Raw genomic sequence first — 26,139 nt, 5'->3', positions numbered from 1 at the left:
TCAGGGCATAGCTAGAGTCTGCTTTGCTTGTTTTTGCAATATGCCATGCATGTGGGTGCGTAATAAATGGTATTCTACAATCACCTTCAAGGTGTACATTATGGGCGAGATTTACACCATATGTAACAACAGAGGACTGGAGAATGACAGTTTAGGAAATGCAGGTTATAAGCGTGCAATTACTCTAATTATGGACCTAAATGGAACTTGACTTGTTTTCACTCTGTAGTCAGTCCATGTGAACTGTCAGGCGAAACTTTCACAAGATATTCTCTCCCCAAAAAGGCAGCTCTGTGGATATGTGTCTGTTTTTATTTTCTCGAGAGCCTTTGCTTTCACTTTAAGCTTTGGGAATATGGATAGGGGCACTGATAGCCCATGGCTTGGCTGATACATCTTTGCCTTTGCTGTTACTGGGCATTTGTATCACTGATGCTCCAGTTAAGTCTCCATTCAGGTGTAGAGAGAGGAATCCTTGGATACTGTGAGGGCATTTCCAAGTCCTTATTTGCATATCTTGATGATATATTGGAGTGTGAAGAAATGCATGATCATCACAAAGTGATTGTCACTGTATTGCTCTGCTTAGAGTAAGCCCTGCTGCAATAACAAACAACTTGGAAAATTTCAGAGGCCTGCAACAATAATATATTTCTTGCTCTTGATACATTTCCATTTTGGGTCAGCAGCTGCTCTGTTCCATGTCATTAGCCTTCTAGAACCCAGGCTAAAGGAGCAGCCTGCCACCTGGGTCATTGCTGGTGTTAAGGCAGAAGGAAAAGACAACACGGCAGACCCAGGTGATGGTCCTTAGCCTTAACCCCCGAGAAGGGGCAACCAATGACTTCACAAGGCACATTGCATTAACAAGTGACAGGATGAAGTCTGACATCACCAGGGCAGGGAAGTATCATCTCCCCACAGAGAGGGGCAGCAAATAGACTGAGCAATAAATAATACAGTCTACTGCACTCAACAAGACACAAGAGTGACTTGCTCAATGCTGTCCTTTGTAAACCAGAAGTGTTTTGAAGACCGGATAGCAAACTATTAGAAAGATAGAAATGACATCTACCCTCTTTTCTGAGCCTCAGTTCCGTAAAGGTATCTTAGAATCATCAGTGTCAAAAGATATTATCTACAAGATATGAAGAGAAGAATAGGAAATCTGTGAAAAGTGGAGCAGAACAAGAGCTTAAGAAAGGCAGTACTGCCGAGGCAAGACCTAGGGGCTCCTGCTGGCCCACAGACTCCTTGTAAATCTTGACCCATGGTTTTCTGAACCTCTTGAGATCTGGTCATTAGTTCCCATGAACATATTCCTTTCTACAAGCATTTCATTCCAGGAAACTACTGGAATGAGTCTGCTCCTTTCACCAGAACTCTTAAGTGTTAAAATAACAAAAATCAACACATAAAATGAGATGCACTAGCTGTAAAATTCATTTCCAAAGATGTAGGGATGTCCCAAATTCAAAAAAAGAGAGACGGAATTTAACCTCCATTGGAATCTTGACTGAACATGGAAGATTACTGCCAATGGAATTAGCGTAGCTTCAGAATAAACAAGAGTGGGTCAACTCATTCACCCACTGATTCAGCCCTTCATTGTTATGTGCTGGGCATTGTTGCAGGTATTCGGGGGTTAGAGGAAAAGACTGAGACAAGCAGGAGCCCTGCTTCTGAAGCATTTACCTTCTAGTGGGTGTGACAGTTAATGATCAATCATTTGCTCACTTGTAAATTAATTATTCAAAAAAACCTATTATTAAATGTTGGGGACTCAACGGTAAGCAGAAGAATCAAAGGTCCAGTCCTCATGGATCTGCATTTTAATGGGGGAATAAATAGAAAATAAGTTATAAATAGAAAATAATAACTGCCAAATTGACATATAAGACATCCGGTGGTACTAAGTGATAAAAAATGAAGAAAGGAGAGTGGGGGTAGGGAATTGGGGGTAGGGACTACAGAGTTGTAGTCAGATGTGCTATTTGGTATAGGGTGGTCAGGCTAACCTCACTGAAGAGGTGACCTGCATGCAGAGGGGAGAAAATGAGGCTGATATTCAGTGAAGGAACACAAAATGCAGAGTGGAACACCCAGTAACACACCTATAGCTGATTTCTTTGCCTTCTCTATCCTGGGTTTCTTATTTTGTGTATTACACCTTGTAAGACCCTCCCACTTCAAATGCAGGGGCAACTGATGACTTCACAAAGATAGTGGTGGTTACTGTGGACATTTGGTGGATAATCTGTTTCTTATATGGGATACGTTCCCAACATAATCCCCTAGGCCACTCTTGTTACAAAATTTAAAAAAAAAAACAATTTTTTAAAGTCCTTTGAGTTTCTAATATGCCATGGATAGATATGTTTTCAATTATTGCATTTGGAGTTCAAAATAAAAAAAAGATTGATATGTGATTTAAAATTCTGGTGATTCTACAGCTCTGAAAGTAATTGAAATTTGTTTTTGAAAAGATTTGAGTAAGTGGATAGAGGTAGAAGTTTTGGGAGGAAGTTCTGTCCTTCGCAATGGCTCCATTGTCAAGCAAAATTAAGGCAAGTAAAAATTGCAGTTGGCTTATGTGCTGAATCCCAAATTAGTTTGGGATTCAGTTGCTTTTGCCTTAACTTTCGCCATAAACAATATGGAAACTTGATTAAGTTAACTTAATTAAGAGAGATTGCTAGATGAGGTTATTAGAAATCTTTTGTAAAATGCTTCATTTCTGATCCATTTGATGTCAAACATTTTTTCCTGTCTTTGATGTTGAAATAATCAGATTAAAATCAACTTGTTAAATATGAAACCTATGGACGTAAAGACCCATTGAGTTAAAGACTTCTCAAAGAGTTTCTAGGTTTGCCTTTTTTAAACTGTGATTTTCAGTAGCAGATTTGTTTGCGAATGCAGTTAGTGGCTAGATTTCTAGATTCTTCTGGTCAGGAACACTCTAGCCGGCAGTCACTACACTGAAGGGCTGAATGATAAATTTGAAATGAGATCAGATTTCTCGCTTCTTACATTACCACAATAGACCATTGACCCTCTAAACAACAGCCATGGCAATATGTGCCCCCAGCAAATAACATGGAGATCTGTAATGCCTCTTCACTTATTCTCCCAGGACTGAACATGCTCTTTCTGCGAGGTCATCTTTGTTCTTGGTTGTTTCTAGATGCAATTCAGGGTGTTTAGTGGAAAGCAGGTAGATCTTAAAGTCATGCAGACCCAAGTTCCAATCCTGCTGCTGTCGGCCTGTGAAAACTTAGACAAGGTATTTTCTAAGCACCTTTCTTCATGTGTTTGCCAGAAGTAACAATATCACAGTGAGTGTGTAATGAGGATCAAAGTGAGATGACTCAAGGAACGCCATCAGCACAATGCCTGGCGCACGATAGGTGCCCATTATTTGTTATTTATGTTTGCAAAGCTGGAGAGATGGAAATTATTATTCAGGTGTCCTGACCTTGTTTGGGAGTATCTCCGCAGTTGGTAGGCTTGAGCTGAATGTCATCAAAGAAGAGTTTTATTGAACTAACACTGTGCTTAAAAATGCTTGGAATTTGGCTGGGCGTCGTACCTCACGCCTGTAATCCCAGCACTTTGGGAGGCCGAGGTGGGTGGATCACGAGGTCAGGAGATCGAGACCATCCTAACACGGTGAAACCCCGTCTCTACTAAAAAAAAAATACAGAAAATCAGATGGGCGTGGTGGTGGGCGCCTGTAATCCCAGCTACTCGGGAGGCTGAGGCAGGAGAATGGCGTGAACCTGGAAGCAGAGCTTGCAGTGAGCCAAGATCGCGCCACTGCACTCCAGCCTGGGCGACAGAGCGAGACTCCGTCTCAAAAAAAAAGTTTGGAATTTGTTGCCAATGATTCAAAATTGGGAGACTTTTACAGAAAAGTCTGGAGTTTTGGCATTATTTTATACAACACTCTCCTCTCCCTGAGTCCCCACAGGGCCAGCTATCAGCAGGGGCTGAAAGTGGCTGCTTCCGTTGGGTGGAGATGTATGTGCTGGGTTCATTTCCCTCCTTCATGTTTCTGCCTGAACCCTGAATGCAGCTAAAGTATTGATGACACTCGGTCTAGACATTAGGCTGATTAGACTCGATGAGCAAATGTGTGTATTTTCTGTGTGTAGCATTGGGAATTTGGGAGGCTACATGTAGGCCTTGAGATGTGTTTGTCTCTGGACCAGGAAGGCAGTCCCTTATACACCAATGACTGAAGGAGAGATGCCTCCTTCTGAGGAGCCTGTCTCTTTGATTGAGAATGCAGCTTTGGTAGCAACTAATCAGAAGTAGTATTTGGGAAGAGGGTTGGGACACTGGGTCAGGCAGAAAGATCAGCCACTATAACCAGCCATGGAGCACAGTGATAGATACAATCCCAAGTCATCCTCAAGTGTAACACAGGCAAACATGGTTATGATAGAGATAGGAACAAGGGAAGATTAGGGAAATAGCATCAGTAGAATAGGACACATGACTGACCGTGGAGAAGCCAGGGAGAAAGGCAGGATTCATTTGATTCAAAACAAACAGGATAGTTCATTTTCCAACACCTTTTGGGACAGTGTTAGCACTCCTTTTTTTTTTTTTTTTTTTTTTTGAGACGAAGTCTCGCTCTGTCACCCAGGCTGGAGTGCAGTGGCGCGATCTCGGCTCACTGCAAGCTCCGCCTCCCGGGTTCATGCCATTCTCCTGCCTCTGCCTCCTGAGTAGCTGGGACTACAGGCACCTGCCACCATGCCTGGCTAATTTTTTTGTATTTTTAGTAGAGACGGGATTTCACTGTGTTAGCCAGGATGGTCTCGATCTCCTGACCTCAGGATCCGCCCACCTCGGCCTCCCAAAGTGCTGGGATTACAGGCGTGAGCCACCACGCCTGGCCAGCACTCTTGATAAAGTAAAGATAATTAGAAATTATAGTCAAGTAATAACCTTTTCCATTTATCTGGTTTTCTTCAGAGCTTTATCCCTTATCTGATCTTCATAACCTGCTAAATTTGTCACAACAAAGTAACAGAAGAGTTGTCAATATGCTGGTCCATTGAACGAATTAATGACATCTCTTTCTTAAAATTCAAAGTTTTGATTGATTAAATTTTGAGGTACATAAGAAATGAATAGAAACCAAAGATTTTCCTGATTTTCTCTCTAAGAAATAAATCCAAAATTTCTGGTTTAAATTTACTTTAAAAAATAAACAAAAAACATTTGATCTGCATTGTTCTCATCACAATTTAAGAGACTATATTCAGCTATGAATGCCATTTACGGTTTTGTTCTTATATTTGACCCAGATTTAGCATAACCAGGTAAACCAGGACTTTTTACAAGATCACTTTAATGGTTACTTTGATTTAAAAAAAAATTCTCAAAGCGCCAAGAATTGCCTTGGTTTTCATAAAAACTTGAATATGTTGTCATTGATACTGTGGTTATTCATGTTAAGTTCTCAACTAATGTCCATTTCTGTGAAGGATTTTGTAGGGAGCCAGTACATAATCGTGGTTTTGTCATTTGGTAGTGGTCTTATGTAACCACTTAATTTTTATTGCAAGAGTGTTAAGTCATAAAAAGTGTCTACACTGTGCTCAGTAAAAGAACCAGACCTCTCTAGACATCTTTGTGGTCATTGTTCCAGCATTCCAGCGTTAACTTCAGGCTGACAGAGAATTCAGATCAACAGAACCACTGTGGTGAGGCCAAAATTTGACCCCCAGAGTGCGATGGGAATTTTTGTTCTGTGGCTTTGCACTGGGCTTTCGTAATGGTTATCAGAGTTTAAGAAATTATGATTACATGAATGGGTAAGAAGTAAAATCATGCTAATAATGATGATGATGATGGTGACAGCTAACATTTATGGAATGCTTACACTTGCCCGGTACTGTTCTGAGGGCTTGCTGTGCATTAATGCATATAATTTTTACAACCATCCTATAAGGAAGGGACTGTTACTCTCTCCTATTTATAGATGATGAACCTGAGGCATAGTGAGATTAAATGACTTGCCTAATATAGAGCATTTAATGAAGTGGCAGAACCTAGACTCAACCCAGCCTGGCTGATGTTTGTTTTTGGTTTGTTTGAGGGAATTAATGAGTAAGTCAATCAAGATGATGTAGTTGGACACAGGCACTTTGAAACAGATTTCTTATCTTTCTATCCAGCCCCTTGGCATCACCTTGATAACCAGCTTTATTTTACTGTTTCTGTGATTTCTTTGTCCCACCCTCCCACAGCCCTTTTGCTTAACAAAGTGCTTTGCGGATAATAGAAAGCCAGTACTTGCTGGCTTGAATTAGAAATGGATGATCTGAGCCATACTAGAGTGCAGTGAGGCAGAAGGAGTCCCAAAGGTGGCAGTGCAAACGTTCTCACTGTAGCAGGGGTACAGAGCCATAGGGGGAGGGGTGGGGACTGTGGGCAGTGAAGAACATGTAGCAGAGAAACCTCAGGTCACCTGTTTGCAGCCCTGGATAGAGGCAGGTGTTTGTTTGCCCTGGCTTGGTACAGTTTTGTCTTAATGCCTTGGGACAAGCACATGGCCAGTGGCAAGGGTGCCGGCACCAAACACTTGCACGGTCTCTTTCCCCACAGCTACTAAACAAGAAGCTAGACCACCAAGCTCTTGAGATTTCTTAGTCCGTGTTTAGAAGATAATCAACAAAACCTTTATGTAGAAAGACAGACCGTAAGATTTTTTCCAGCAGAGGTGCTTACTTTTTATTTGCCCACATGGACCCCGGTTCCAAATCCTTGCTCCACAGCCCTAGCCACAGAGACACAAAACAAAAACCCCTGAAATATCTGTAAGTATACTTTAACCTTGTCAGAGTGATTTTGGAAAACAGGGTGATCAGCAAGTTTTATCCCCACTAACCTTTGGGTTAGTGATTTTTTTGTTTAGAAGGTTTGCTCTGTGTGTGCATGTGCGTGTGTGTGTGTGTGTGTGTGTGTGTGTGTGTTTCCCACAAAAGATTCTTAGGACTAAATGTGTCCACTTTACCTTGCCATTCCCCTTCTTCCTCCACTCCAAAAAGCATTGATGCACAGACCTCAATGCCAGATTGTGTACAACAAGAAATTCTTTACCAATATCCAGTCCCGCAATCTAGTTCATGCTGTTTCACCATCCTTTAAAAATGGTTCGTTTTGTTACTTTTTTTGATCTTCACAACATGGCTCTATTATATTCACAACATGGCTGTGAATATAATTGAAATCCAGCTGGAAATAGAGTGAAGAATAGCATTTAGTGTTTAAATTAGCAGAATTTGAGATCATCCTTATTACTTCGTAATCGCATATAAAAGATCATTCTCTTTCTGAGTCAGTTGTTTATTCTTGACAGTTTATCCCCAAGACTCTCTCTTGGGCTAAAACTGGGCCGTGTTTTCTTTTGGTAACATTACTCTAACTTTAACAGTGCTCCCCTGTATATTGCGTGATTTGTCTAATCTTTATTGATGATTGCTTGCCTCCATTGGCCATTCTTCCCATTGAAATGTTTTTCTCTACACTGGTAGCCTCGAGACTCCTTAGGAAGCTTCCCCTGGCCTTCGGTAAGGTTATAACAGATAGTCAGCCTTCCTGGCACACCAGTTAAAGCAGGACTGGGCGTTGGAAGGTTTTTAAAGCCAGCTGCTCAAAATACCTGCATCCCAGGCAGGTCTAAGGAGGAGAGATCCAAGGCAACCACGTCAGTAATAAGGAGCCATCCAGCCCTCAATCTCTTTAGTCTGGGGGAGCAGCCCTTGACCTCTGAGCCCACTGCTTTTTGACCTTGACCTCCATACTTCTGAGTGTCAGCAAGAGCGATTTGTCCAGGTTTATTGTGTGTGGACATAAGCCGGTGGGCTTTTGGCTATGCCAGCACAGAGAGACCTCATGAGTTGAGCCAATGAACATCTGCTCATCGTGGGATAAGAGTTCTCTGTAGTTCGTGTTTTGCCTCATGCGAGTAAATAGGGGTTTATTTCCATCCTTTGGTTTTTAGGTCAAGTGGTCTTTCTGGGTGGTCTGGGACATGACATGAAAAGTGATTATTTAGGATTCCTCTTGTCCTTCTTTCAACAATGCCGAGCCCACATTAACCAGAGTTCTGGAAAATGAGTCTTTCTACTATTAGGAGTGGGCAAATTCTTTTCGTAATTAGTTAGACCACTTTAAATAGCTCAAAGAAAGACAGCCACTTTCCCTGAAACAACTTTATTCATAGACCTGAGAATTCTGAGAACAGCTCAGAATGTATGATTTTTTTTTTCATGTCCTAGATTTAGGAATTGGAAATAGCGAGGCTGACAGTCAGATTCTAGTACAGATGGAATTTTTGATTCTTCATATTTTATCATAAGAGAAATTAGAAACTTTTAGAAAGAATCGCCTAACCTAATATCTACTGCACATTCGAGGACCTCAGCATTCTAGCTGCCCTTTACTATGAATGCAAGATATCCGTTTCTAATGGATTTTCAATATTGAATTGATAAGATCTAGGATGAAGTATAACTTGTGGCCTTAAAAACCATTTACTGGTTCATATCCTATGCGGAGGATAGGAAGTGAGTAATGGAAGCTGCCTTTTACTGAGCACCTACTTGATGCCAGTCCCTGCATGAGGCCTTCTCCATATATTGTCTCCTTTCATCCTTACCACTGTGCATCAGGAAGGTTATATTGTCCCCATTTCACAGAAGGTAAAAACTAAGACTCAGCCAGGTGCAGTGACTCACGCCTGTAATCCCAGCACTTTGGGAGGCCAAGGCAGGTGGACTGAGGTCAGGAGTTTGAGTCCAGCCTGGCCAGCATGGCAACACCTACTAAAAATAAAAAAAATTAGCTGGGGGTGGTGATGAGCACCTGTAATCCCAGCTACCCAGGAGGCTGAGGCAGGAGAGCCGCTTGAACCCAGGAGGCGGAGGTTGCAGTGAGCCAAGATCATGCCATTGCACTCCACCCTGGGCGACAAGAACAAAACTCCAACTCAAAAAAAAAAAGTAGCTGGGCATGGTGGCAGACGCCTATAGTCCCAGCTACTTGGGAGGCTGAGCCAGGAAACTTGCTTGAGCCCAGGCAGTGGAGGTTGCAGTGAGTCGAGATCACCCCACTGCACTCCAGCCTGCGCAACAGACTGAGACTGTCTGGAAAAAACAATAACAACAACAGCAACAACAACAACAACTAAGACAAAGTTTATGGGACAGGACTAGAGAATATGCACATTCTCCACATTGCTCTGTCTGTATGTCCTCAGTTCATAATTGAATAAGCTTTTGTTTCATGGCTACAGATTTGTTCTTCATAGATATATTGTACTTTGTTTCTGACTGCTCCTGGATGCAAAGTTGATGTGAAAACCTGACAGGAGAGATGTAATGGAGATAATGTTCTGAGTTTATGCTGGTGAGGTGCTGGCAAGGCTGGGGCTTAGAAAACAGAAGTCTCCAGCTCTCTAGTTCCTTATCTGTGGAATGGGTATGGGGATACTTGATGGGTTGGTATGAGAATACTCTGATTGAATTATGAATATACAAGTAAATTGATTTGATGACTCCTTATTCAGCATCTTTTAGTATTGAGGCTGTGGATGGCATTAGATATACAGTGGTGAATAATAATAGTGCTCATTTTACAAAGGGCTTATTATGTACCAGAGAGCGTATTAAGTGCTTTCCTTGCATCATCACTTTTGATTTCAAGCACAGAAAAAACATGAGGTAGGTAATATTAACCCTACATCTACTTAAGATGAAGAAACTACCGCCCAGAGAGGTTCAGTAACTTGCCGAGATCACGTAGTCCGTGCACAGCAGAGCTGAGATTGGGAGCCGACAATCTACCTCTAAAGCCTGTGTTTTCACCATGACATCCTAATGTGTGGCTCCATCTACTGACACAGAGGGTCCCTGCCCTCAGGAAGCTCACAGTCCAGTGGGGAAAGGACAGAAGCGAAGCAAACATAAAGACAATGCACAGCTAAGTGCCATGAAGGAAAGGGACAGAGTGAGATGAGAGAAACAAGCAAGGAAAACCACGTGAGACTGGCGAATGCAGGAAGCCCTCGCTGAGGGGGTGAGACCCAGAAAATGCAGGAGGCAACAAGTAGGGAGCAGCATGCCTCGCCTTGGCAGGGGGACCACCATGTGTGAGCCTAGACATGGGAAAAATCTGGATACCAGGGGCTCAACTAAAGTAGCTGCTCATCATGAGTGCATGTGGTTATTGGTAAAGAATACTTTGAGCTTAAAACGTATTCCCAATCAGTTGGAAGAAGAACTCTGCAGCTCTCTCTCCGGATTTAGTGCCTTCTCTATTTTGTTACATATGTTCAAATTTATGAACATGAAAGGGATTCAGCCTTTGCTTGAATGCCTATAAGTGGCCACATTTCACAAATCCTCTCCCTTCTCCCAAATGTGGGAAAACAGAAGGAAGGAGAAGTTTTGAAGTTCTGCCTCCAGATATTTCCTCAGTGGTCTTTTATGGGGCTTGATTCCTTAGAAACTGACATGTGTTCATAAAACATGGCATTCCTCTGCATATATATACACACACGTATACATAGATACATGACTTAACAAAATTATAACTATGAGCAAGGAAGCCCTCAAAAAAGCAGTTATTATAAATGCTGAAACATGCTATGCATAAAATTAATGAATGTTAATTTATTTGCTCTGCTTTTAACAGGGCCACATCATGGAAACCACCAGAAAAGATTTCAAGAAAAACCTTTCTGCTAGTACCTACCCAGACCTTTTGACTCTGGCATAGAAGGCAATATTTAAAAAAGAAATTATATAGATAATATATATAATTTTATTTATATAAATACATATATATTTTATTATAAATTTATAATTTCTTATATCTGTGATTTTCATATATATGAATCAGATCTATGATTTTCATATATATGAATCGGATCTGTGATTTTCATATGTATATGAAAGATGAAAGATCGTATATATATGAAAATCATAGATCTCCTGCCCTTCTGTGGTATGTTTCACCTCCTGAGACACACTGAATATTTTCCTAAAATTTAAACTAGGATTATGTTCACTTTTAATTTGCATGCCTGGGTAACAATGTCACTAACCTTTGCTACTCCTTTATAAATCGAAATTAATTAAACTGGAGCTTGCCAATGAAAACACAGCCTTTTAAACATAGATTTCTGGTCTGTAGCCCCGTCTAGGAAAAAAAAAATCTCTTTTATTAGAAATTGTTGATCTCACATCAAAGCAGCAAGAGAAAACCAAATTCTCTTTCATTTTTAATAAAAAGGCTTTCTGATCTCCAAGGGCACACCTGACCGTGCCACTTGCAGTACAGGCAGCCTGTGATAAGTGGCCCACAGCAGTCAAAGCCTGTGCTTTCAGAGTTCACTGTTTTTTCCGAACTTGATCTGTTCAGAGAGGCTAATTTGTTACTCAGAGGGAACTTGAAATCTCCCTGTGATTGCCTTGATAGCTGGTGGTAATATGCATCACTGTGGTTTTTAAGCTTTTTTAAAGACTTACTTTGACTATCTTTAAGAGAAAGGAGTTTTGTATTTTCTTGCTTTACATAAATTAAGCCTCAACTTTAAGTTTGCAGCTAGATTGTCTTCTGGTCTCCAAAATTCTTTGATATGTTTACAGCCTTGACTATTAAAAAGGATGATGGTATCTTGCCATGCCTTCTTTTTTGCAGGATTCTATATTAAATAGTAAAAGTCAGCCTGTTAGTCCAAATGTTTCCCAAATACCCTGAATATAGTGCCTTGTGAAAGGAGAGGTCCCGGGGAAGTGTAAGCATGCCCTGTGATATCTACTTGTAAGAAATATTTCATTTCACTGAAACTATCCATTACTGATTTTTGCAAATCCAATAAATTGACTCCCAGGCTCTGAACTCCTTTTACAGAATGCTTTGGATCCTTTGCCAGGGTCTCAGTGAATGCGTTCTCTACTTGTTCATTTCCTGCTGCTTTTTGAAAAGCCTTCTGCCTCCTTTCTGCCAGTTGCATCTGTTCATTCCTAAATGAGTGCAGCTTCCAGAAAGCAGTGGCCAAGGACATCTGAGCAATGGGAGGGCTGTGTGCTCTCCTGCTGTGTAACACTGAGGTTGATGCTTGTCTTATGAAGCCATTCCATCCCTGTAGTTGTGCCACCATATTTTTCTTCGGACCTTTAACCAACTGTTCTGTTTTTGTGATCATATTTTTCACTTATTTGAAGTGCTGTAGTAAATATTTTTTCATAGTATTCCTTATGACCCTCAGTAAAACTTTGGGTTTTTTTCTTCCTGCAAAGAATCCCTATACAGTGCTTTTGTTGTTTGATATTTTATATGCATAAATGTGTGTATTTGTATGTATGTACATATATTAATGTGTACATATATATATATAGCTATTGCAATTTGTGACTATTTAAATAAATGGTATTATAATTTGTTCTAAAGTTTCTTAAGGTAGTCCATTATGTAATCTCTAAATAATGAGAATTGTTTCTCTCTTTCAAATATCTCTTCCTTTTGGCCCCGTATGGTGGCTTATGCCTATAATCCCAGCACTTTGGGAGCCCAAGGTGAGTGGATCACCTGAGGTCAGGAATTTTAGACCAGTCTGGCCAACATAGTGAAATCCCGTCTCTACCAAAAGTACAAAAATTAGCTGGGCATGGTGATGCATGCCTGTAGTCCTGAGCAGCTACTCAGGAGGCCGAGGCAGGAGGATCACTTCAACCAGGGAGGTGGAGGTTGCAGTGAGCCAAGACTGTGCCACTGCACTCCAGCCTGGGCGACAGAGCGAGACTTCTTCTCAAAAAACAAACAAACAAACAAACAAACAAAAAAAACTCTTCCTTTTATTGTGTTTTTCTTGTCATATTTCATTGGCTAGAACATCCTGTGCTATCATAACTTTTCATTTAGACACACATCATTGAGGTTTGAGTGAATTCATAGTTAGCAATTATGTCCTAGAGTAGTAATTCCAATTTTGTCATAAAATATAAAAACTGCAGACTGATACAAGTAATTCATATTAGGTACAACTATTGAAGAACAAATTATGTCATCTCTAAATAATGAGAATTGTTTCTCTCTTTCAAATATCTCTTCGTTTTGGCCAGGCATGGTGGCTTATGCCTATAATCCCAGCACTTTGGGAGGCCAAGAGCAAATCTTCTGTAAAGTGAAATATTCCTCCAAAAACAAAGAGGAAAATTATTGCAGTTCCATTTATCAGGTGCTTCCAAGAGGTCAGATACCAGGTTCAGAGGTAAAAACTCACTGTATTTGATTCTCACATCAAATTTCTGAGGTCTTACCATTGTGCCCCTTTTACTGCCAAGGAGACTAAGGCCTAGAATGTAAGTAACTTGTTAGACATTGTCATAGCATGGCGATAAATGCAGACCCTTCTGAGGAGCACACAGCCTGCTCACTTTATAGCACTAGCATGTTTTGATGCTTATGGCCCCAAGGTAAGTTAAAATGTCTTTCATTTTTATGTCAGTAACTGGAAAGTCTAAAAGTTAAATTAAAAAGAATTCCACTTGTGAGGAAGATCATATCTGGATGTCTATCTCATGTGTATCTCCACATTTAGTGTTACTGTCGATCAGGGGCCAGCATACTTCTTTAAAGGGCCAGAGAGTCAATATTTTAGACTTTGTGGGTTATGCTGTCTCTGTCGGAACTACTCAGCACTACTGACGTGGCATGAAAGCGGCCGTCGACAAGATGAAAGTGAATGGGTGTGGCTGTGTTTCAATAAAACTTGATTTATGGACAGTGAAATTTGAATTTCATATAATTTTCACATGTCATAAAATATTATTATTTCAACCACTGAAAAGCTTATAAGCCTTACAGAAACAGCCCATGGGCCAGATTTGGCTCACAGGCTGTAGTTTGTCAACCCTGCTCACTACACTGAAGTCTTAGAACTTTGACAAAACAGAGAGGGAGAGGTGCATGCAACCACTGCTTCTACAACTCGTCCTTCCCCATGACAACAGGTATTTAACAAACATTTCTGAGGGCCTGCTACTGCATGACAGCCCCAATTTGGGCAGGAAAGATACAGAGACAAAACAAATGTTTTTCTGGAGGTTTTGTAGTCTACTTGGAGAGGCGTTGCAGGGTGGAAGAGGTAAAATAATAATAATAAGAAGAATAATTACAACGCAGTATGCAAAATGCTTTAGACTTACAGCAGAGTGTGCAGCAGCCATCGACTTCAGCAGGCATCTGGTGGATGCTGGGCTTCTAGAATCTCAGGCCCTCTGGAAGTGCATCTCAATCCCCCTCAGTATCTTGTAGCAGGCTAAGTCTTTTTGGAGAGACTCAACAAGTTTTTAGGTCGTGTGATGGAGTTCCTGATTGCACACTGCTGTGCTGGAGGCAATTCAGAGACCTCAGAGCAGCGAGCGAGCCCAGCATCTTTTTAATCTGGCGCCATCTGCCCGCCTACCCCTCCCAAATGCACATTTTGATCCTCTGAAGCTTGGCAAAGCTTTCCTCAGCTGATCTCAGCTCCTCAGAATGAGAGTTAATGGGGAATTGGAGGGCTGTGCACTGGCCCCAGTAAAGATGTCCAGAGCGTGAAGTCTTTCTGCAGGCTGAGCAGAGGAGGGGTGCTGACGGAGTGGCACGCACAACAACCCGTTTAACGAGTCCACCGGCAACCCAGTGCTCCTGAGGGAAAACATACATTGGCAGCACTTCCCCGTGCCTGTCTCCTCCTTTTTCTCTTGCTGACACGTCTCACTTGAATTAAATCCTGGGCTCTGCCATGCCAAGAGTCTTTGGTTGTATTCCTGCTGGCCTTTTCCAGCTGCCTAGCTTCCAAGCCATGTGCAACACATTCCTTCACTAGCTCCTGTTCTTAAATGTAGAGGTTCTCCGGGGCTCTGGCCTCAGCCCACTGATTTTCCAGTGTTTACACGCACCTTGAGTGATGTTATCCTTGCTTGTAGTTGTATTACCATCTGGGTGCTGATGGCTTTTGAATCAGTATTGCCAGTGAGACCTGCCCCCTAGCTTCAGGTTTCTTCCTCAAACTACCTCCCCAAGGGGCTCACCTCTTCCTTATCAACACCTGCTTGCCCCTGCTCCCCCTACCCCTGCTTTCATTTTTTTCTGTGTGTGTGTGCTTGTGTGTGTACAGACACGCATGTAATGTAGGACCTGGGAGTCTTTCATTGTCCTCCTTTTTCCTTTTCCCGCCCCTCTGCTAATTGAGACCCAAGTATCTGGAGGCCTTGATTCAGGGTTGGGCTGTAAAGACAACTTGGATTCTATTCAAAGAGTCTTTTACTTTAGTTCACTCTTGTTGTTGTTGTTGTCGTTGTCACAGGGTCTTGCTCTGTTGGCTGGGCGGGAACATGCAGTGGTGGGATCTCGGCTCACTGCAGCCTTAGCTTCCCGGGCTCAAGCGTTCCTCCTGCCTCAGCCTCCAAAGTTGCTGGGACCACAGGCACACGCCACCACACCCAGCTATTTTTTCATTTTTAATAGAGACAAGGCCTCACCATGTTGCCCAGGCTCCTCTTGAACTTCTGGGATCAAACAGCCCTCCCACCTCAGCCTCCCAAAAGTGCTGGTATTACAGGTGTGAGCCACCACACCTGGCCTAGTTTACTCTTGATATAGCTAATTAGCAGCCCCAAAGATATATAGGAGACAAAGCAGTTTGATATAGCTCTCTGTTACCTCTTTCTTCTCTAAGCAGAGTGCCAGGGGTGTCTTTCCATATGCAAACCTGATGATGTCATCTGCCTGCTTAAAACTCTTCTGTGTTCCCCCCTGCTTTAAGGGCTGACAGGTATGGATGGGATGCAGGTTTTGCAGTGCGCCACCCCCAAGGAACGCCATTCTCATCATAGTCTATGTGAATAACACCTCCTACAGCTGCAGGAGCATTGTACAGCCTGTACTGCTGTCTATGGCAGCTCTGGCCAGTAAGGTCTAGCAGTGCTTGGCCTTAGACTCCTGTCCCACCACATCACATATGACCCTCTCCCTGGTAGATAATCCCAAGGTTTCTGAGTCAGTAGTTCTGGGGTCAGGTATAAAAATCTGCCCTCCTATCACATTCCCGGGTGATGTGATGCTACTGTTCTGGGGAACACACTTTGAGAACCACTGGCATAGCCATAGCTTGACGTAACTTGATGTTTTTTCTGTTACGACTCTTTACTCACTTAGGGCTTCCAGGACATGCCTGGACATGGGCTGCCTAACCCAATTTTGCAAAAGCTGGGGGTATCTCCATTTTATAGAAACAATTAATGATCCCACTTACTCTTTTTAAATTAATATTGAACTCTCCATGAAGCCCATAAACACATTCCTTGTGGAAGAACTTGAAACAGTACAGATTAGTCTAAAGTTCCTTCTTTCTCTCATCTTTGCCCCAGAAGTTAACACTCTTGTCAGTTTGGTATATATCGCTTTTAGACTCTATTCTGAGTTTGCTGGTAGAAAATAGCCTTCGTGCTGGCATTTCCCCCTCCTCTTACCATGAATCACATCATACTGAACCTCCTGTTCCACAGCTTGCTGTTTTTCATTCAGCTGTATGCTCTGGCCTCCTCTTTACGCTGGCGTGTATAGATTTTGCTCAGTCTCCTTGCTCTTCACAGCCACTCTTTCCCACCCTACTTTCTGCCCAAGGGACTCCATCAGCCAGTGCTCCCTGGCTTCCAGGTGGGTGTGGCCAGTGGGAGGAGATCAGAGTGAAGTAGATAAGTGAGGTTGGGGTCTCTCCCTTCGAGGTGGTCTCATGAGGGCTGTGGCTGTGGAGGGAAGTTTCCTGAACTCACTGCACCTCTTCCAAGCACATTCTGCCCTCTGCACCCACTTTGCAATTAGACCTGATTCATCTTAAGTACGTCACTTGTCTCCTCAGGGAACCTCACTACATAGGTGCTATGGGCTGGATATTTGTGCTCCCACAACATTCATGGGTTGAAACCCCATCTTCACGGTGATGGTGTTAGGACGTGGGGATTGGGGGAGGTGATTAGGCCATGACACCTCTGCCTTCATGAATGGGATTAGTGATTATAAAGGAGGCCCCAGAGAATTGCATAGTCCTTTCCACCATGTGAAGACGGAAGGCAACATCTATGAACTGGGAAGCAGGCCCTCACTAGACACTAAATCTTCCAGTGCCTTGATCTTGGAGTTCTCAGCCTCTGGAACTATGAAAATAAATGTCTGTTGTTTATAAGCCACCCAGACTATGGTATTATGTTATAGCAGCCCAAGCAAACTGAGAAAGTAGGTATACCTCAGTCTTTTTTTTTAAGTTTTAAAAAAATTATTGTGGTAAAATATAAATAACATAAAATGTACCACCTTAACCATTTTTAAGTGTACAATTCAGTGGCATTAAGTGCATTCATGTTATTGTACAACCTTTACCATTATCCATCTCCTGAACTTTTTTATCATCTCAAACCAAAACTGTATCTGTTAAACGATAATTACCTATTTTTCCTTCCCCCAGCCCATGGCAACCACCATTCTCCTTCCTGCCTCTTGAATTTGACTACTCTAGATACCACATAGGTGGTATCATACAGGATTTGTCTTTTTATGACTGGCTAATTTCACTTAGTGTAAGGTCCTCAACATTCTTCCATGTCATAGCATGTATCAGAATTTCCTTTCTTTTTAAGGCTAAATAATATGGCATTGTATATCACATTTTGTTTATCCATTCATCCACTAAATGAACACTTGGGTTGCTTCTACCTTTTGGCTATTGTGAATAACACCACTATGAATGTGGGCATCCAAATATCTCTTCAAGACCCTGCTTTCCATTCTTTTGGGTATATACCCACAAGTGGAGTTGCTGAATCATATGGTAATTCTATTTTTAATTTTTTGAGGATGGCCATACTCTTTTCATCTCCAGTTATGTGTATTCTTTGCTTTGACCTGAAAGACATAACAGTTATAATTGCCCTATCTGTATGGTATCCCACATCAAAGAAACTTATTTTAGTCGTGCATGTGAGGTCAGCTGTTTTTGTCTTAACCATTTATAATTTTGATGCTGGAAAATATTTTGGTGCACAAAACATATTACCAAAGTATTATACATTACAGAAACTCTACATCGTCTTGCTTGTGAAATGTGAAGCCATTTTCAAAGCAGATGTGTAAATTACAGATATGGATTCAATTATATGGCATACTGAATATTTTGATTGCCATTGCTATAGATTCTACAAATATCCTGTAGTTTCCTCCCTGCCATTTTGAGAATATTCTCTTGTGTACATTTCATTCAGCCTTTTAAAGAATCTCTTAGCATCCTTTGGGGCCTAAGCCTCGCTGTGACGTTAACTTTGAGGGCTTTTGTTTACCTAGTATCTGTTCTTCTATAAGTAAATTTTAGGTGCCAAAGAGCTCTCGATAATTATGCAATGTTTTGTTGAGAGCTCTTTCACATAGAAACATGACCAGCATAGCTTTTTTCACATAGAAAGAAGACCTGTTTGGAAAATCCTTGGCAAACTAGGATTATAAATTTAAAAGAAACTGTGATTTGTTCTGAATTGTATTATAACTTGCCAAAAGTTAGTCACACATATAAATTATACAGGTTAACTAAGTTAGCCAAAGTCACAGGGCTAGGAAATGGAGGATCCAGAATTTAAATGTGGATCTTTCCACTGTATCACCTTTCTATCCTTCCACATGTGGCCACCTGTGATAGGGTAAACGCACACACACACCTCCTTTCAGATGTTTGGACTGTTTCAACATGCCCCAGATGGGAAGTGAAATAAGCACTTTGTATTCTCCCTTTCGTGATGGAATTTGGGTTACTGGGATTGAGGAGGGGCCACCAAAACTTCAGCATGGCTGTGATAACCGAGCACAGCAACTTGTCCTCATTTTCCATTGTGTGTAGTGTTTGCTTTGACCCGAAAGGCTCCTCATAGCCCATTCCATAGGCACATGAGCACAGCCAGCACCAGACCAAGACCATAAATGGATCTGTAGAAGGTTTGGGCAGGTGTCCAGGACTCCGTGTCCTGTAACAAGTGTAAACGTTTTCTGGAGTGTTTGTTTTAAATGTCAGAACTTGAGGATAATTTTGGCCAGGGTTGTTTTTACATTTTTCATGGATGCCTATTTATAGGTCTGAATCTAAATCTATTTTTTATCCAGCCTACCCAGAAACCATAAAGAAAAAGATTGGTCATTTGACTATATAAAAATTTAAAACTTATGTATGGCAAAAAACATAACAAACTAGCAAGAGGAGATGAAGGGCTAATTTTCTCCTTTCTTAACGTGTTTCTACATGTCAAGGAAAAAGACACACTACCCAATAGAAAAGCAAGATAAGAATATAATCAATAGACATGTGAAAAGGTACTCAACTTCATTCATAATTAAGAAAATACACAACCAAATGATGTTGGCAGAGATGTAACAGTTGGATAATAGGCAACATTGATGGGTGTGTTGACATAAGCACTCATAAACTGTTGGTGAGAGTTTACATTGGTGCAGCTTTTGGCAATATCTATTAAAATTAAAATGTTCATTCTGTCTGGCTTATAAATTCCATAATCTATACTGTGGATGTAATCACAAAAGAGTGTGCCAAGATATGTATGTATACAGGCACACATACATGCACACAAGAATGCTACTTGTAACATTATGCAATGGAAACCCACCACAACAATATATCCCTTCCTCCCAAATTAGAAACAAGATAAATGTTAAATAACAATACATCTATACGGCAGGAAGCCCTATTAAAAAGAATGAAGTAGAGCTCCAAACGCTCAGTTAGACAGATCTACAAACTTTGTGGCAAGCATTTATAGAAGTTATTTCTTAAAATGAGATCTCTATACTGGTATATGCTTTTATCTGAAAGGATACATTAAAAATGAGCAGTAGTTAAACTTTGGGGACTGTTGTTTTAGGTATGTGCATAGGCCTGGTTTGTCCTGCTTTTATTTTGTACTTTTTAAAAGGACTTTTCACCCATGCATTATTTACTTAAATTAAAATTTGATTGAAATCCATGTGAAAATGGTTCTAACAGTTATAGATAACTAAATTTAGCTTTAAGTCTTGATTTCCTCTCTGCAATATAATTGTCCAGAGCTATGCTTTTGGAAAGGAAAAAATGGAGCTGAGAGCTGATTTCCAGAGTATGATCTAGATATATCCTGGGCTCTGCTTTTCTGTGGAAATCGATCTTTAAAAAATATTGGGTGGAGTTAAATTTGAAATAGAGATTCTGTAACGGGTGGATGAGGTCATTTCCTTATAGGAACTTTTTGGAGTTGGGAGAGAAGCACATTTATTTCTAGGTGTTTAAGAAGGGCTGATTGGGCCGGGCGTGGTGGCTCACGCCTGTAATCCCAGCACTTTGGGAGGCCGAGGCAGGCAGATCACGAGGTCAGGAGATCGAGACCATCCTGGCTAACATGGTGAAACCCCATCTCTATTAAAAATACAAAAAAATTAGCTGGGCATGGTAGCGGGTGCCTGTAGTCCCAGCTACTTCGGAGGCTGAGGCAGGAGAATGGTGTAAACCTGGGAGGCGGAGCTTGCAGTGAGCCGAGATCGCGCCACTGCATTCCAGCCTGGGTGAGAGCAAGACTCCATCTCAAAAAAAAAAAAAAAAAAAAAAGGGCTGATTGTTGGTGGAAAAGGAGGCTCTCACCCAATTACCTAGTCAGAAAAGGACACCTAGGCTTTTGTGTCCTTGGAGTCCTTTGTTTCTATACCACCAATGAATCTGTAGGGGTAAAGTACTGGGGTGGAGTGGTTATTCATGTTAGAAAACAGTATAGGGGGATTTTGTTTTACAATCAGGTATGCTAGATTTAGATGTGGCTTCCATCGCTTTCTCACTTTGTAATCTAGCTGAGTTTGTTTACTCGTCTGTAAAATGGGTTTATAGATAATATCTCCGGTACAGAATTGTTAAGTGCTAAATGAGATTATGCAGGTGAAATGCTTGTCTTTGTACCGGGAACATAGCCTTTGTATCTGCCATTATTGTTGGACTACAACTGTACAATTTTAGCTCAAGATTGTGTTCATTTCTGCCAGGATGAAACCAGCAAGCTTAGTTCATTGCTTGGAATTCTGATAGTTAATTGGGTTATAGAACCAGCACTGGTCAACCAGGAAAGCCAAGTCAGAAGATCAGCCCTCAACCGTTGGCTAGGTGCCTGATGAGAAGTGCAAAATATAGAAGATTCAGACCAATTGGTTGAAATTTCTTACATCATATATACTGGAAATGTAGGAATTTAAGTATATTTGTGTATTCATGGCCCTTAAAGCCCAAATCAAGACCAGAAAAGTTGCCTAGATAAGATGTGAGTAAACCCTAAGTATCACTCTCCTTCCTCGACCCAGTCTTCCAGCCCAGCCCTTTTATCATTAACTTTTCTCAACCAAAATCTTGATAGAACTGTATTTTATTGTTACACACATGCACAGATTACACATTATAGTCCATTTGCGTAATTCATCCATCTGCCTCAGACCTGCCTTAACCCTGAAGAGTAGTTTAGGGTCATCTCACATGTTTAACAGCATCAATTCCAACTTGAACTAAGTAGAATAAACAGATCCCAGACCTCCTACCTTAGAGACCCAGCTTTTCAATCTTTTTTCTATCTTCCTTTCAACATGATCAAAGCAGCATTCCCTAATCCTGAAGACAACACAAGTACTTCTAAGTATCCTTTGTTTGTCTTGCTTATCCCAACCAAGGGTAATTTTACATTTGCATTACTAATCACCTTCCTAAAATGCATTGTTCCTAAAATTAGATTAAATGTCTCTAAATGGTTTTATTTTGTTTGACAGTGGCAGCCTGACCCTTAAATATCCTATCTGTGAATGTACCAACTAGAAGGACATAGAAACCTTGTATATAGAAACAAATAAGATTCTTCTATTTTGTCATCTCTGAAGTATAATTTCATCAATGCACTTAAATTTTGTGGGTGTCTCTTTTCGGGTGCAATAAAAATTCATCCAAGAACAACAAACTAAGCTATTACCAATTACCATTCAACTGTGGGTCAGAATATTTTAGTCTAGTGGGAGAGTAATATTTCTTTGGTTGGTTCAGTAAAGGTTCAAAAGTCTGAGAAAATTGAATGAGCTTTATGCTTAGGTCTTAGTTCTGGACCTCCATGTTAAATTCTTGGTTTGAGGCAGGGAAAGATGAAAACTTACTTGCAGTGTAGTTAGTGTAGAGAGAGAAAACAGTGGCTGTAGTTAGGAACAAGTGAATGTTAACAAGTTTGCTTCTCAGGGGCATTGGTTAAACAACTTCTTAACTGGCCAGGGTCCAGCACGTTAATCATTAACCTAGGGCTGAGCATCTGCTGCCTGATGTATCCAGAATTAGTTTATCATTACCTCTAACGACCATCTTTTATGGTTCCGAAGAGCCTCTATGCAGTCTCTTATCACCGCCATGCCTAATCTTCATTTACCGGGAGCAGTGTGCTGATGTTTCTTAGTTAGACCAGAGTAAGAAGTTTATGGTCAGTTGATGAATTTTTAATTATAACTGTTTAAAAAGAAGACGATGACTATGAACAGCAGCTCACTCGTAGCAATCTTTGGACAGTACTTCGAAGTGACCCACTTTCCCATTTAACTCTTGGGAAGCCTGGGTTGCCCTGTTTTCGACTTTGGAGGTCCGTGGGCTAGATTCAGAGTGCCCTGGCAGGCTGGCTTGGGTTTGAGGCTGTGGCTGCAGCCTCCGCAACACCCTATCTCAGCACCTGGGAACTGGCCCTTGGTACCCGATTCTTTCTTCTTTGTGTGTGTGTGTAAATCATTTTCATTTTTTCTAATGATCAAAGTATACATTAAAATAAATGAAAGCAATACAAGTCCATGTGTATGGTAGAAAATCTGGACAATACTAAAAATGTACAGAAATGGCTTTTAAAGATTAATTTTCAACCTATAAACTAAGCTACTTTTCATTTTAGTGTCTTTTTAAAAACAGCTTTTAAAAACATTTTAAAGGGCTCATCATGTTCAAGAATGAGGGAATGTTTGGCTACAAGGCCTTCAGTATGACTCTATCCTATAGCTGGAGGTTTAATAATCAATTATATTAAAGCTTTTCTAAGCCTCCAGAAGGGTTTGTCTGGGTCTTATTTACTATAACAGGCAAGTTAAAGAAACTTGAGTTTAATTTATATTTCAGTTCACTTTTTTTAGACAACAAGTGCAATTTGGGCTTTATTTATGGAAGGAGAGAGTTGTCCTTCTCCCCGGAAAAAAAAAAGAAAAAAAACAACTAAAATTCCCATATGACGCTATTAAATGCCTGCCATTGGGTTTTATGTTTCCAGGATATTGTCCACATAAATATATGCAATGTTAAAAGAATGTGGATGCCTAGTAGCGTGTACGTTTTAGCCTTCTGAACCAAGGGTTTATGAAACTGGTTGAAGAGTGTTTTATTGAAACAAGACAAATATTTATGAACAATTTAGAATCATCTGTTTTGAAATGTAAAGTGCGTTCCTAGTGGTGCACAGAGTTCCAGGTGTTTCCTGTCTGAATTTGGAACGGTTCGCTGCTGTGATGGGCTTACAAAGTTGTGCTCTCCTAGCTTTTAATCAGAACTGAAGAATCACGCAGCTTCCCTGCTAATGCCAGAGCAACTGAAAGCACTCACAGGAACACACTTGATTAAATGAGTAGAAAGCCTTCTTGAGACACCTAGGTGTGTGTATGCTGAGCTGTTACATTTGTCATGGAATTAACAACAATAACAAACTTGCTTACCAAAGGAGCGCGTTAACTTCTGCAAGTGTATAAGTGTATAGGCTCTGCTGCTTAAACACATTCGTACCAATCAGAAGTTTACTTTCTGGTCTCTCTGGCTTCTGTGTTGTCACCATCCCTGGTTTCTGTGAAATGGAAATATTGTGTATTCGCCCAGACGGTTGGAAGCCGTTCATGTAAATATGGGCCGTTGTGATTTAACTGTCAGCCTGAAAGGCCCTACTTCCAAGGGCTCCTTTTAAACCAAGCACAATGAGGTGTCTGTTTTAGATGCGGCCGCCAGTCCTTGGTTGCAAATACATGGATTTGTTAGCCGTTTGCCAGCAGAACTGCTTTTTACAACATGCCCCGCTTTGTCTGCTGGCGTGGTGGACGGTACTTTAGGGCAGTGAGAAATGCTGCCATTATCTGCCTCCATCCCCAGATCTGTTCCCCTCATTGGCTCCGGGTTGGGATTGTAGGGGGAGGCGTGCAGCAAATCATCTTCTCTAGGAGCAGTCAGAAAATAAGAAGGGAAAAGCTTGCCCCACAAAGAATGTCCAAATGCACAAGCAAAACCACATGTGAAATCCCACCACGTTCACCCCCTGGAAACCCAGCTCTAGAGGATGCAGACGGGGGGCCCAGCCGACACCCAGGGCTGGAGTAGAGGCGTTTTATAAAGGATGATCTTTTTTCTAGCATGGACAACAAAGGGCTAAGAGAGTCGTCCCGCTTCCTGCTTGGGCCTTTCTGTTTTTGGGTTGGCGGGAGCCTTCTTCAGTAGACTTCACTTTCCCTGATGGTGAGAGTGTCAGAGACCACGATGGGTTACAGGCTTGCTTAATTGTTTTTTACTGGGGGTAAGAGAGGGGTGAAAAATAGAGAAAAGCATGAAAGAGAAATGAAGTCACCATATTTCTGCCATAAAAAAGTAGCCACTGGTAACATTTTGCCGCCTCTGCCTTCAGTGTTTTGTTTTCTCCCTTTGTATATGTTAAAAGCGATATCTGAATATTTTTCCTTCATATTTTCATGTCAGAACTGTAGAGTATTTCAGTGGTCCCCCCAGCCACGGTTTCTCTGTCCAAGGTTTCAGCTGCTTGTGGTCAACCATGGTCTGAAAATAGATGAGTATAGTACCTATCATAAGGTATTTTGAGAAAGAGACCACATGCATATATAACTTTTATTACAGTATATTGTTTTAATTGGTCTATTTTATTGTTAATCTCTTACTGTGCCTGATCTATAAATTAAACTTTATCATATGTATTTATGTATAGGGAAAAAATGTTTGTAGGGTTAGGTACCATCTGTGGTTTCAGGCATGCATTTGGGCCCTGGGCAATATATCCCTAGAGGATAAGGGGGAGATGACTATGCATATATAATTAAAGCTGTCCTTGGATCTACCTCCTTGACTCCAAGCTCCAAACCAGCCTCCTCCCCACTGCAGGAGTCGATCTCTATGAATGTTATGTTTTCTTTCCTTCTGTATTTTGTGCTTATGTGGTCTTTTAAATTTCCTTCTGACTCAGGCCTCTTCACTGGCATAGAGCACATGCTTTATTTATTCCCCTATAACTGGATATTTAGACTGCAGCTTTTTTGCTTTTCCAAGCAATGGTGCTGCGAGCCTTCATAGACCTTTTTCCTTGTGCGTGTATATGTGCTAGTGTTTCTTCTCGGGTAGAGATCTAGAAATGGAGCCACCAGTTTCCAGGCAAGACCAGACGTAAAAGGTTGTACATAAGGAGCACTAGTTTTACATACCCATGAACTATATTTATTACGGTCGTGCTTGAGTTCTGGCTGAAGAATTACGTGACACAAAAATGGACAGAGTTAGCTACAGGAGGCAGAAAGCGTGCAGTAGGGATCCTGTTGAATCCTCAAGCTAAGTAGTTTACCAAGCTGGTTGCAAATCTATTTGGTATTTTCCTGATTATCAAAATACTTGCCACTGATAGGAAACATTTGTTTGAGGGCCTCTCCTCCTCCACCCCCAACCTCCAGTGTACGACAGATGAATCAGTCATGGTAGAAGAAACAAATGGCTTTCTGTTGTTACTGCTTCTTTAAAGATAATCCGTTGTTTTCAAAACATTTGCAACGATTGCTTTCAAGGAAAGGGTGGCTGGAGGCCTCAGCCCCTGATTTCCCCAGGTGGAAACATTTGCAGTGGGTTTTCAGGGAAGTCACAGAGAAGAGCCGCCCGCCCGTGCCAGGATTCAAGGCAGGAAGTTGTCTGTTTGGTATTTACTCAGGCGTCTTTGGGCAAGAATTGATTATTCAATCAGAGTTGAA

At 41.3% G+C, this 26,139-nt stretch overlaps 1 protein-coding gene and 1 long non-coding RNA gene across 5 annotated transcripts in view; one reads left to right on the top strand and one right to left on the bottom strand.

Moving 5' to 3' along the window:
* LOC101927296 (uncharacterized) overlaps positions 1-14,556 on the bottom strand; it is a 48,453-nt gene extending 33,897 nt beyond the window's left edge. The window contains exon 1 of the long non-coding RNA NR_121660.1: positions 14,235-14,556. This is a non-coding gene — a long non-coding RNA (uncharacterized LOC101927296). The remainder of the gene's footprint in view (positions 1-14,234) is intronic.
* PDZRN3 (PDZ domain containing ring finger 3) overlaps positions 1-26,139 on the top strand; it is a 242,511-nt gene that overhangs the window by 89,064 nt on the left and 127,308 nt on the right. The gene's annotated exons all lie outside the window — the stretch shown is intronic.

The sequence above is a fragment of the Homo sapiens genome, chromosome 3 (assembly GCF_000001405.40).
Source record: "Homo sapiens chromosome 3, GRCh38.p14 Primary Assembly".
NCBI lineage: Eukaryota > Metazoa > Chordata > Mammalia > Primates > Hominidae > Homo > Homo sapiens.
Note: the sequence above shows the minus strand (reverse complement) of the source record. Positions and strands in the feature narration are given on the sequence as shown.